Source organism: Homo sapiens, chromosome 3 (assembly GCF_000001405.40).
Source record: "Homo sapiens chromosome 3, GRCh38.p14 Primary Assembly".
In the NCBI taxonomy this organism is placed as follows: domain Eukaryota; kingdom Metazoa; phylum Chordata; class Mammalia; order Primates; family Hominidae; genus Homo; species Homo sapiens.
The window spans coordinates 183,235,083-183,248,904 of NC_000003.12; the positions used below are offsets into that span (position 1 = coordinate 183,235,083).

The 13,822-nt window shown below is 41.7% G+C and overlaps 1 protein-coding gene across 6 annotated transcripts in view; it reads right to left on the bottom strand.

Moving 5' to 3' along the window:
- Positions 1-13,822, bottom strand: part of MCF2L2 (MCF.2 cell line derived transforming sequence-like 2) — a 250,579-nt gene that overhangs the window by 57,042 nt on the left and 179,715 nt on the right. The window lies entirely within an intron of this gene.

Genomic DNA, 13,822 nt, shown 5'->3' on the forward strand with positions numbered 1-13,822 from the left:
AATCCAGTCTATCATTGTTGGACATTTGGGTTGGTTCCAAGTCTTTGCTATTGTGAATAGTGCCACAATAAACATACGTGTGCATGTGTCTTTATAGCAGCATGATTTATAATCCTTTGGGTATATACCCAGTAATGGGATGGCTGGGTCAAATGGTATTTCTAGTTCTAGATCCCTGAGGAATCGCCACACTGACTTCCACAATGGTTGAACTAGTTTACAGTCCCACCAACAGTGTAAAAGTGTTCCTATTTCTCCGCATCCTCTCCAGCACCTGTTGTTTCCTGACTTTTTAATGATTGCCATTCTAACTGGTGTGAGATGATATCTCATAATGGTTTTGATTTGCATTTCTCTGATGGCCAGTGATGATGAGCATTTCTTCATGTGTTTTTTGGCTGCATAAATGTCTTCTTTTGAGAAGTGTCTGTTCATGTCCTTCGCCCACTTTTTGATGGGGTTGTTTGTTTTTTTCTTGTAAATTTGTTTGAGTTCATTGTAGATTCTGGATATTAGCCCTTTGTCAGATGAGTAGGTTGCGAAAATTTTCTCCCATGTTGTAAGTTGCCTGTTCACTCTGATGGTAGTTTCTTCTGCTGTGCAGAAGCTCTTTAGTTTAATTAGATCCCATTTGTCAATTTTGTCTTTTGTTGCCATTGCTTTTGGTGTTTTGGACATGAAGTCCTTGCCCACGCCTATGTCCTGAATGGTAATGCCTAGGTTTTCTTCTAGGGTTTTTATGGTTTTAGGTTTAACGTTTAAATCTTTAATCCATCTTGAATTGATTTTTGTATAAGGTGTAAGGAAGGGATCCAGTTTCAGCTTTCTACATATGGCTAGCCAGTTTTCCCAGCACCATTTATTAAATAGGGAATCCTTTCCCCATTGCTTGTTTTTCTCAGGTTTGTCAAAGATCAGATAGTTGTAGATATGCGGCATTATTTCTGAGGGCTCTGTTCTGTTCCATTGATCTATATCTCTGTTTTGGTACCAGTACCATGCTGTTTTGGTTACTGTAGCCTTGTAGTATAGTTTGAAGTCAGGTAGTGTGATGCCTCCAGCTTTGTTCTTTTGGCTTAGGATTGACTTGGCGATGCGGGCTCTTTTTTGGTTCCATATGAACTTTAAAGTAGTTTTTTCCAATTCTGTGAAGAAAGTCATTGGTAGCTTGATGGGGATGGCATTGAATCTGTAAATTACCTTGGGCAGTATGGCCATTTTCACGATATTGATTCTTCCTACCCATGAGCATGGAATGTTCTTCCATTTGTTTGTGTCCTCTTTTATTTCCTTGAGCAGTGGTTTGTAGTTCTCCTTGAAGAGGTCCTTCACATCCCTTGTAAGTTGGATTCCTAGGTATTTTATTCTCTTTGAAGCAATTGTGAATGGGAGTTCACCCATGATTTGGCTCTCTGTTTGTCTGTTGTTGGTGTATAAGAATGCTTGTGATTTTTGTACATTGATTTTGTATCCTGAGACTTTGCTGAAGTTGCTTATCAGCTTAAGGAGATTTTGGGCTGAGACGATGGGGTTTTCTAGATAAACAATCATGTCGTCTGCAAACAGGGACAATTTGACTTCCTCTTTTCCTAATTGAATACCTTTTATTTCCTTCTCCTGCCTGATTGCCCTGGCCAGAACTTCCAACACTATGTTGAATAGGAGCGGTGAGAGAGGGCATCCCTGTCTTGTGCCAGTTTTCAAAGGGAATGCTTCCAGTTTTTGCCCATTCAGTATGATATTGGCTGTGGGTTTGTCATAGATAGCTCTTATTATTTTGAAATACGTCCCATCAATACCTAATTTATTGAGAGTTTTTAGCATGAAGGGTTGTTGAATTTTGTCAAAGGCTTTTTCTGCATCTATTGAGATAATCATGTGGTTTTTGTCTTTGGCTCTGTTTATATGCTGGATTACATTTATTGATTTGCGTATATTGAACCAGCCTTGCATCCCAGGGATGAAGCCCACTTGATCATGGTGGATAAGCTTTTTGATGTGCTGCTGGATTCGGTTTGCCAGTATTTTATTGAGGATTTTTGCATCAATGTTCATCAAGGATATTGGTCTAAAATTCTCTTTTTTGGTTGTGTCTCTGCCCGGCTTTGGTATCAGAATGATGCTGGCCTCATAAAATGAGTTAGGGAGGATTCCCTCTTTTTCTATTGATTGGAATAGTTTCAGAAGGAATGGTACCAGTTCCTCCTTGTACCTCTGGTAGAATTCGGCTGTGAATCCATCTGGTCCTGGACTCTTTTTGGTTGGTAAACTATTGATTATTGCCACAATTTCAGAGCCTGTTATTGGTCTATTCAGAGATTCAACTTCTTCCTGGTTTAGTCTTGGGAGAGTGTATGTGTCGAGGAATGTATCCATTTCTTCTAGATTTTCTAGTTTATTTGCGTAGAGGTGTTTGTAGTATTCTCTGATGGTAGTTTGTATTTCTGTGGGATCGGTGGTGATATCCCCTTTATCATTTTTTATTGTGTCTATTTGATTCTTCTCTCTTTTTTTCTTTATTAGTCTTGCTAGCGGTCTATCAATTTTGTTGATCCTTTCGAAAAACCAGCTCCTGGATTCATTGATTTTTTGAAGGGTTTTTTGTGTCTCTATTTCCTTCAGTTCTGCTCTGATTTTAGTTATTTCTTGCCTTCTGCTAGCTTTTGAATGTGTTTGCTCTTGCTTTTCTAGTTCTTTTAATTGTGATGTTAGGGTGTCAATTTTGGATCTTTCCTGCTTTCTCTTGTAGGCATTTAGTGCTATAAATTTCCCTCTACACACTGCTTTGAATGCGTCCCAGAGATTCTGGTATGTGGTGTCTTTGTTCTCGTTGGTTTCAAAGAACATCTTTATTTCTGCCTTCATTTCGTTATGTACCCAGTAGTCATTCAGGAGCAGGTTGTTCAGTTTCCATGTAGTTGAGCGGCTTTGAGTGAGATTCTTAATCCTGAGTTCTAGTTTGATTGCACTGTGGTCTGAGAGATAGTTTGTTATAATTTCTGTTCTTTTACATTTGCTGAGGAGAGCTTTACTTCCAACTATGTGGTCAATTTTGGAATTCCCTGCTTTATTATTCTAAAGCAAGCTTGTCCAACCTGCGGCCTGTGGCCCAACACAAATTTGTAAACTTTCTTAAAACGTTATGAGATTTTTTTTGCGATTTTTTTTTTTTTTTTTTTTAGCTCACCAGCTATCGTTAGTGTTAATGTATTTTTTGTTTTGTTTTGTTTTGAGACGGAGTCTTGCTTTGTTGCCAGGCTGGAATGCAGTGGTGCAGTCTCGGCTCACTGCCACCTCTGCCTCCCAGGTTCAAGCAATTCCCCTGCCTCAGACTCCCGAGTAGCTGGGACTGCAGGCGTGCGCCACCATGCCCAGCTAACTTTTTGTATTTTTGTAGAGATGGGGTTTTACCATGTTGGCCAGGATGGTCTTGATCTCCTGACCTCGTGATCCACCCTCCTTGGTCTCCCAAAGTGCTGGGATTACAGGCGTGAGCCACCTCGCCTGGCCAGTGTTAATGTATTTTATGTGTGGCCCAAGACAATTCTTCTTCTTCCAGCGTGGCCCAGGAAAGCCAAAAGATTGGACACCCCTGTTCCAAAGCATGTAATTTTATTCACAGAAAAGACTCTCGGCCGGGCGCGGTGGCTCACGCCTGTAATCCCAGCACTTTGGGAGGCCGAGGCAGGCGGATCACGAGGTCAGGAGATGTAGACCATCCTGGCTAACACGGTGAAACCCCGTCTCTACTAAAAATACAAAAAATTAGCCAGGCGTGGTGGTGGGTGCCTGTAGTCCCAGCTACTCGGGAGGCTGAGACAGGAGAATGGCGTGGACCCCGGAGGTGGAGCTTGCAGCGAGCCGAGATCACACCACTGCACTCCAGTCTGGGCAACAGAGCGATATCCGTCTCAAAAAAAAAAAAAAAAAAAAAAAGACTCTCAAGGATTTACCATCTAAAATCATCAAGTGTATATCATGCAGATGAACAACAGAAAACACTGGGAGTATTCAAGTAATTAAAAATAACCTTTCAGCACCAACAGCAATTTCTGTCCTGATGGCAATCTACTCAGAGCTAGAGGACTGCACTTAGGATACCAAAGGGAGCTTAGGATGCAAGAGCAGCCTGCACTAATGTACTCTGCGTTAGTTTACATCCGGGCACTTTGCTTTACGTTTCAAAACAGACGCCGCCCTTAGCTCATTAAAGGGGAAATGGAGGTATAATGTGTTTTAAAGGGATGTTTCTTCTCTGAAGCCATATTTCAGGGTAGCATGAAAACAGAGCTTTGGATATCTGGTTCCATTCTACATGACACCTCATGCTTGTTTCAAATGACACCACAACCAAGGGGCAGGAATGAAAGGAATATGCTAAAAAAAAAAAATGCAATCCTTTTTAGCAAGAAAGATCATTAAGGATTTCCTGATAAGTTTCTTCTTTGTTCATGTGCCCTCCTCTGCTCCCCCTTTGAACTACTGCCCCTGTCACCCCCCCTTCCCCGCCTCCCCGCCGTTTCTCAGTTCTCCAATAGGGATCCAGTCTGCCAGAGGTCTATTTTTGCTCATTATTGTCAACACAATTTGCCATCAAGAGTTTTCACTTACTCCTGCTATCCTATCATCACATTATGCATGTCAGAAAGCATTACAGATTTTTACTTTTCAAGAACCCGAACTCAGATTTCCAGGCTTCTGTCCTTCCTGTTTCATGCTGTTGACTCTCCCACATCTTTGTCTTCCTCCTAGACCTTTGGTCACTCTTGAGCCCACATTGCCAATGGTCTATATCATTTTCACCTGGATGCCTCCCAGACACCTCAGTCACATCAAGTTGAAATAGAACTAATTAGACAGAAGTAGCATGTGTTTCAGTGGAACTGACATTTTTCTAGGGTCCCTAAAACACAGGTGTTGTTTCAAACTCCCCCCTCCAACATCCCTTATATTCTCTCTGTCACCCAGGCTCCTTATATCATCTCTCAACATGCTTCCTGGGTGACTACTGACTCTCCACTTCTGGTGACACCCCACAGAGCAAGCTTTCAATTCCTGTCATTTAAACACTTTAGTGCACTCATAGAATCTCATCCTTCTGAGATTTCTCTTCCACCAGTCTATTTTGCAGACCACCAGGCTACGCCCTTCCAAAAGCTCCTTTGAGATGGAGTTTCACTCTTGTTGCCCAGGCTGGAGTGCAATGGCATGATCTCGGCTCATTGCAACTGCCACCTCTCAGGTTCAAATGGTTCTCGTGCCTCAGCCTCCCCAGTAGCTGGGGTTAAAGTTGCCTGCCACCATACCCAGCTAAATTTTGTATTAGGGGTTTTACCATGTTGGCCAGGCTGGTCTCGAACTCCTGACCTCAGGTGATCTGCCACCTAGGCCTCCCAAAGTGCTGGGATTACAGGTGTGAGAAACCACGCCTAGTCCCCCAAAGCTCCATTTTTATCCTGTCTTCATTCTCTCTTCAAGAACTTGCCCACAGCTGCCAGAGTTCCTTCTAAGAGTTTAAGACTCTCTGTTCATGTGGTAAGAATCTTCTTAAGGAGCTTGCTTTAAAGGTAAAACCAGATTTACACATCAGAATGGGGAGAGGTGGGTGGGAGCTAAGATGGAATCTGTAATTTTCACAAGTGCCCTGGATGATTCTACTGCAGATGGTCTCCTATTCAACTAAATAGCACTCATCTGACCCACTCCTTTTAGACCCCACTTCTGTTAAGCCAGTGTTATCGCTATTTTCCACTTTCTTTCAAGTTCTAATCATCCTTAAAACTCCAACAGCTTCAGCTGAAATCAGTACCACACTCTCATCCTTGTTTCCCACCCAAAAACTATTGTACTAATTGACCAGACATGTATTGATGCCCTACTATGAGCCTGGCTCCATGATAGGCACTTGGGATAGAGAAATGTACCATAATCCTGACCTTAATAAATTTAGAGTCTAATGGAAGAGATAAAAAAAATCAATGATTCCAATGAGTGTGATAAGGTAAGGCTAGTCAGAAAAGTCAGGTGCAGAGGAGGGGCAACTAATTAAACCAGGGGTTGGGGGAGACACTGCCAACTCTGTGTTGAGTGAAGTTTAAGCAGAGGTTTTTCTTTAAGTAAAAAATCAGTTTTTTTAAATAAAAAGTTTTTTAAAAAGTAAGGGGGAATAGAAGAAGGAGGTTTGTCCCTAAGGGGAACAGTGTGGAGGAGGAAAGGAGGTGAAAGTGTATGCTATTCTGTGTACTGGCAAATTCTTTGGTGGGTGATATGGTTTGGCTCTGTGTCCCCACCCAAATCTCACCTTGAATTGTAATAATCCCCACATGTCATGGGAGGGACCCAGTGGAAAGTAATTGAATCATGAGGGCAGGTTTTTCCTGTGCTGTTCTCATGATAGTGAATAAGTCTCAGGAGATCTGATGATTTTATAAAGGGCGGTTCCCTTGCACATGCTCTCTTGCCTGCCACCATGTAAGACATGCTTTTGCTCCTCCTTTGCCTTCCACCATGATTTTGAGGCCTCCCCAGCTATGTGGAACTGTGAGTCCATTAAACCTCTTTCCTTTATAAATTACCCAGTCTCAGCTATGTCTTTATTAGGAGCATGAGAATAGACTAATACAGTAAATTGGTACTGGTAGAGTGGGGTGCTGCAGTATCTGAAAATGTGGAAGCAACTTTGGAACTGGGTAACAGGCAGAGGTTGAAACAGTTTGGAGGGCTCAGAAGACAGGAAGATGTGGTAAAGTTTGGAACTTCCTAGAGACTTGTTGAATGGCTTTGACCAAAATGCTGATAGTGATATGGGCAATAAAGTCCAGGCTGAGGTGGTCTCAGATAGAGATGAGGAACTTGTTGGGAATTGGAGCAAAGGAGACTCTTGCTATGTTTTAGCAAAGAGCCTGGCAGCATTTTGCCCCTGCCCTAGAGATCTGTGGAAATTTGAACTTGAGAGAGATGATTCAGGGCACCTGGCAGAAGACACTTCTAAGCAGCAAAGCATTCAAGATGTCACTTGAGTGCTGTTAAAAGCATTCAGTTTTATGTATTCACAAAGATATGGTTCGGAATTGGAACTTATGCTCAAAAGGGAAGAAGAGCATAAAAGTTCAGAAAATTGGCAGCCTGATGATGTGATAGAAAAGAAAAACCCATTTTCTGAGGAGAAATTCAAGCCTGCTGCAGACATTTGCATAAGTAAGATGGAGCCAAATGTTAATCACCAAGACAAAGGGGAAAATGTCTGCAGGGCATGTCAAGGACCTTTGTGGCAACCCCTCCCATCACAGGCTCAGGCCTAGGAGGAAAAAGTGGTTTTGTGGGCCCAGCCCGGGGACCCCTGCTCTATGCAGTCTAGGGACTTGTTGCCCTGCATGCCAGTTGCTCCAGCCATGGCTGAAAGGGGCCAAGGTACAGCTCAGGCCATTGGTTCAGAGATGCAAGCCTCAAGCCTTGGTGGCTTACACGTAGTGTTGGGCCTGTGGGTTCACAGAAGTCAAGAATTGAGGTGGATGTACAGAAATGCCTGGATGTCCAGGCAGAAGTTTGCTGCAGGGGTGGGGCCCTCATGGAGAATCTCTGCTAGGGGAGTATGGAAGGGAAATGTGGGGCTGGAGTCCCCACACAGAGTGCCCACTGGGACACTGCTTGGTGGAGCTGTGAGAAGAGGGACACCATCCTCCAGACTCCAGAATGGTGGATCCACCAACAGTTTGCACCATGTGCTTGGAAAAGCTGCAGATACCCAACACCAGCCCATCAAAGCAACCACAAGGGGGGCTGTACCCTGCAAAGCCACAGGGGCAGAGTTGCCCAAGGCTGTGGTGGGAACCCACCTCTTGAATCTCTATGAGACATGGAGTCAAAGGAGATTATTTTGGAACTTTAAGGTTTGACTGCTTTATTGGATTTCAGACTCGCATAAGGCTGATAGCCCCTTTGTTTTGGACAATTTCTCCCATTTTGAACAGGTATTTTTACCCAATGTCTACACCCACATTTTATCTGGGAAATAGCTAACTTGCTTTTGATTTTACAGGCACATAGGTGGAAGGGACTTGCCTTGTTTCAGATGAGACTTTGAACTGTGGACTTTTGAGTTAATGCTGAAATAAGTCTTTGGGGGACTGTTGGGAAGGCATGATTTGTCTTGAAATGTGAGGACATGAGATTTGGGAGGGGCCGGGGTGAAATGATATGGTTTGTCTCTGTGTCCCCAGCTTCATCAGGATCCTCCCACACATCCCCATTCTAAGTTGCAGGGTCCCATTCTTTTCCAATCAATGCCCTCATTTTAACAGTAGACACCTGGTGAGGCTGTGCATGCACCTTTCATTGCAGGTCAGCCGCTCCCATGATAAGAGCTTGTATCTGATTTTCCACAATTTCAGCTCTTTCTCTACAAGAGATAAGACTCTCACTCTGGACAATCTTAGAAGATTTGAGGCTCAGTGTATGCTTCTGGAGCTGGGAGTTAGAATCCCTAAGTTCATGGTTTTCTTCTATCAGTTTGTCCAGTGAACTTAGGAGCAACCAACCAACTTCGTTATATTCCTTGGTCCTCTATATATGGTCAAAGGTATTATGTATAGAGTCATTAAACTCCTTGCCTCTCATGAGTGGTGAATCAGGAGTACTGAATGCATTTCTTTTGCATAAGTGTTTGAACAGTTCGTGCCAAGGACTATCAGTGTTCTCCACACAATTAGAAGTAGAGTCCTTAGCATTTTGGGGTCTAATCATATTAAGCAACCAACTCCAGAAACCCAAAAACCAACTAAAGAAATCTATCCTTCTGTAATCCCAGCACTTTGGGAGGCCAAGGCAGGCGGATCACGAGGTCAGGAGACTGAGACCACAGTGAAACCCCATCTCTGCTAAAAATACAAAAAATTAGCCAGGCATGGTGGCGGGCACCTGTAGTCCCAGCTACTCGGGAGGCTGAGGCAGGAGAATGGCATGAATCCAGGAGGCGGAGCTTGCAGTGAGCTGAGATTGCGCCACTGCACTCCAGCCCGGGTGACAGAGTGAGACTCCAGCTCAAAAACAAAAAAAAAGAAAAAAAAGAAATCCATCCTTAAAATTCTGTTCCTCTAGAACCATTCCCAGTACCAAAATCTGATTAAAAAAAAAAAACAGGCAGAGGAAGGTGGAAGGACTAGATCTTTCTCCAGTGCTGGATGCTTCCTGCCCTGGAACATCAGACTCCAAGTTCTTCAGCTTTTGGACTCTTGGACTTACAACAGTAATTTGCCAGGGGCTCTTTGGCACTTGGCCACAGACTGCAGGCTGCACTATCAGCTTCCCTATTTTTGAGGTTTTGGGACTCAGACTGGCTTCCTGACTCCTCAGCTTGCAGATGCCTATTGTGGGACTTGGTATCTTGTGATTGTGTGAGTCAACTCTCCTAATAAACTCCCCTTCATATATTCATCTATCCTATTAGTTCTGTACCTTTAGAGAACACTGACTAATGCCGTGGGGTTAAGCCAATCGTCTAGTAGGTTCATAAAATGCTAAAAGCAGATATAAACTTAAAGACGATCCAGCTCATCTCTTCATTTTACAGATGTAAAAACAGAAGTAGAAATAGAATTGGAACCCCAGTTTCTTGAAACCCAGTGTTTGCATAATACCATGCTAATTTCATTCTAATTTGTGTTTTATTTAATAATCAGGAAACAGTTCAAATAGAGGCCCAGGGCTCTGAAACATTGCCCAAGGTCTATGGCTTTTGCAAAGCAAGTACTGTTTCTGCTACTTTACCTAGTTGCTCTTGGCCTATGTTTGGGGTGCATCTAAAGAACTGTTTGCTGATTATTAAATAAAACACAAATTAGAATGAAATTAGCATGGTGTTATAAAAACACAGGGTTTCAAGAAACTGGGGTTCCAGTTCTATTTCTACCTCTAGGATACAGGGTAAGTCACTTCCTTTCTCAGATTCTGTTTCTTTGTATGTCAAAGGGCTGGATTAGATAAACTTGACTTCCCCTCTTGGCCCTCATGTATCATTCTATAAATATGTTATCATTTCTAATAGACTGTTTGATGTAATCTTTTGTCTAATGGCCCCTGCTTTTCACAATAAATGAAACAAAGGTCACAAGACTTTTATTCATTTGCAACCCTGATTAACTAACAGTTAATGTGTAACTGGAGTGCCACATAGAAACAGAAAGGAGAAGGGGAATGGATTGGGTTGGAGAAGGTGAAGTCTGACCTATCCTCTACAAGAGGTACAGGGTTTATCCAGGAAGACAGGAGTGCCATGAGGAGTAAACTCCAGCAGGGGCTGGAGTCATGGCCACACACAGGGCCTTACAGGATCCAGGCTGCCCAGAGCAGAGTTTGGATGGGGGCTGGGAGGCTGGGGGAGCTAGCTGAGGAGATGGTTGTCATGCCAGGCCACGAGTGTGGATGAGTGCTGGCCAGGGGAGGTATAGGAGATTGATGGGGCTGTGGCAAGCAGGGCAGATACCCTTCCAGGAACCTGTTTCATTAAACACAGAATACAGTCCTGAGGGCTCGGTCTCAATACAGTCCTGAGGGCTCGGTCTCAGGAAAACATGTTCTTAAGTTTTACATCCTTCTTCTGTTTTGATTAGGTGTTTCCTGATTATAAAATAAATTCCTAGAACTGTTAATGGTAACAACACAAAGCACTATAGACCCATACGAGGATCATATTGAAACCAATGACATTTAAGAATAAAAGATCTGATGAATATGAACACTTCCCTGGTTCCTAGGAGGATAACAGTTGAGTTTTGCTCAGGTAATCTGCCTTCTCTTCCTTCTTCTCTGCTTTGTATCTCAGTTTCTATATTTTGTCTTACATTAATAGGATTTGTTCTCATTACCCTGATGATTTTATGGTAAACTACCTCAAATTCTTTTTGGAAGAAGATGGGATATAAATTATTTTTAAAGTTTATCTGAATAGATGTTCTTCAATATCACACAATAAATAATGACAATGTAACTTTGTGCATATAGCACTTTAAGAGATTGATCATAAACACAATCCTATTAATCTTAATTCAAGTTAATAATGCTTGCATTTGTATGGCATTTTAGGTATTATAAAGTTTTTTTTAATTGTGGTAAGATATGCATAAAATTTACTATTTAAACCTTTTTGAAGTGTATAGTTCAGTAGTGTTAAGTACATTCACAATGTTGTGTAACCATCACCACTAGCCATTTCCAGACTTTTTCATCATCCCAAACTGAATCTCTGTACCTATTAAACATGACCTCATTCTCCACCTCCCCACAGCTCCTGGGAACCTCTATTCTACTTTCTGTATGAATTTTCCTATTCTAGGTGTCTCATATAAGTGGAATCATACAATATTCATCCTTTGGTGTCTGGCTTATTTCACGTAGCGTAATGCTTTCAAGGTTCATTCATGTTGTAGCATTTATCAGAATTTGATTCATTTTTAAGGCTGAATATCTTCCATTTTATGTGTCTACCACATTTTGCTTATCCATTCTTCTGTTGATGAACACCTGGGTTGTTTTCACCTTTTGGCTATTGTGAATAATGCTGCTATGAACACTGATGTGCAAGTACCTGTCTGAGTCTCTGCTTTCAATTTTGGGCATATACCTAGAAGTGGGATTGCTGGATCATAGGATCATTCTATTTTTAACTTTTTTGAGGAATTGCCATACCACCCGCTACAGCAGCCGCATCTTTTATATTGCCAACAGTGCACAAAGGCTCTGATTTCTCCACTTTCTGGTCAACATTTAGATTATCATTCTTTTTTTAAAAAAACGTAATAGCTAACCCAATGGGCATGAAGTAAGGTTGTTTTTGTTTTTTGTTTTTAATGTGTGCGTTATCTTACTTGATCCATTAAATCCCTAACAAGAACTCCTCTAGGGCAGATGTCCTGTCTTATTCATCCTTGGCCCCAGTGTCTTGCAAGCAAGTGAATTCTCAATAAGTGTTAATTGAATGGATGGTTGATAGATTTATAGGATGCATGCCAATTCTGTGGACGAGAGTAGGTACTAATTGTTATTTTCATTTCACAGAAGAGCAAGTCAGGGCTCCGAGCACTAAGTGACTTGGCTGAGGTCAAACTGCCTGCAAGTTTTATCTAATAGTGACAGAGGAACCAATGTGTCGAGCATGAATGTCAGTCCATTGAAACAGTGCCCACTTTTCTGACTCTGCTCCTTAAGAGACAGGGCCTGTACAGCAAGGACACAGAGAAGCAGGTTACAGAAAAAGGGCTGGCTCATCCGTGTATGCCTGGCATTTGAGGAATGTGGCTGAAATCTCAACACTCTGGTTCAGAAGCACATCTGCAATCAAATATAACAAGACATGGTATGAGAGATGTCTGGCATACCAAGGAGATTCCTAGAATACAGCGGATAGGAAAACCTCATTACTTCAATTCCCAAGAAAGAGTACTACTGGTAGTAATCCCAACAGGAGTATCCAAGTAACTCGGTAATCTTCAGTAAAGAAAAGAAATTGTGAAACAATTATAGTCAGTCCTCCATCTCTGTAGGTTCCACATCTGTGGATTCAACTCACCTCATATTGAAAATATTAATAAATAAATAAATAATAACAATATAACAATTAAAATAATGCAAATTTTAAAAGCATAACAACTATTTACATAGTATTTATATTGTATTAGGTATTATAAGTAATCCAGAGATTATTTAAAACATATGGGAGAGTGTGCATAGGTTATATGCAAATACTACACCATTTTACATAAGAGACTTGGGCATCTGTGGACTTTGTTATCTGCAAGGGTCCTGGAACCAATTCCCCATGGATACTGAGGGTCAACTGTACCAAGTTGAAAACAAAACAAAAGGAAATCTATTGCAAAAAGGAAATTCCCAAAGATAAAAAGCATGTCTATGAAATAGTCAAAGAGCCGAAAATGTTGGGAAGACCCACACTGCTTTCCCTGCCCTGTGCCCCTTTTTGCAGATCTATTTGTGTCTTTATCTACCAGCAGATATTCTATTATTCTAATAGATTCCTGTTTTTCCCAAGAGGGTTTACTTATTTATTAAATATGATGCAAACATCTCTCTCAGAGATGTTGCTCTCTCTTCCTAGGATTCCTTAGCCCTAAATCTGCAGAGCCAATTAGGTATTAATATTGGGCTTTACAACTTTGGACCATCTGACCACCAAGACTGATTCATTAAATGTATATGGTTTCAGATCACATTAATTTATCATAGACTTTAGAATTGGCTTTTTAGAAGTACTGCTATAAGGAAAATCTCAGCATAGCAAGTTTTATCTAATAGTCTACTTGTATTAAAGAGTACTCAATGTAAACCCTAGGAAGACTTTTAACTGCCTTTTGGAAATTGGTTGAGTGGGATTTGAACCGTGTACTCTCTGTAAAGCAGGAAATTATCACTTAGTAATTACTAAGTATTTAAAAATGGGAAATAGAAAATTACATTTCAGACCTGGTGCAGTGGCTCATACCTGTAATCCTAACACTTTGGCAGGTGGAGGCAGGTGGATCGCTTGAGCCCAGGAGTTCAAGACCAGCCTGGGCAACATAGTGAGCAACTCCATTTCTACTAAAAATAAAAAAAATTATTTGGGCGTGATGGGGTGCACCTGTAGTCCCCACTACTCAGGAGGCTGAGACAGGAAGATTGCTTGAGCCTAGAAGGTCAAGCCTGAGTGAGCAGTGACCGGCCATTGTATTCCAGCCTGAGCAACACAGCGAGACCCTGTCTCAAAAAAAATGTATATTTTTAAAAAAAGAAAATTACATTTTAGTTGTTCCATAAATATCAGTACAACCAA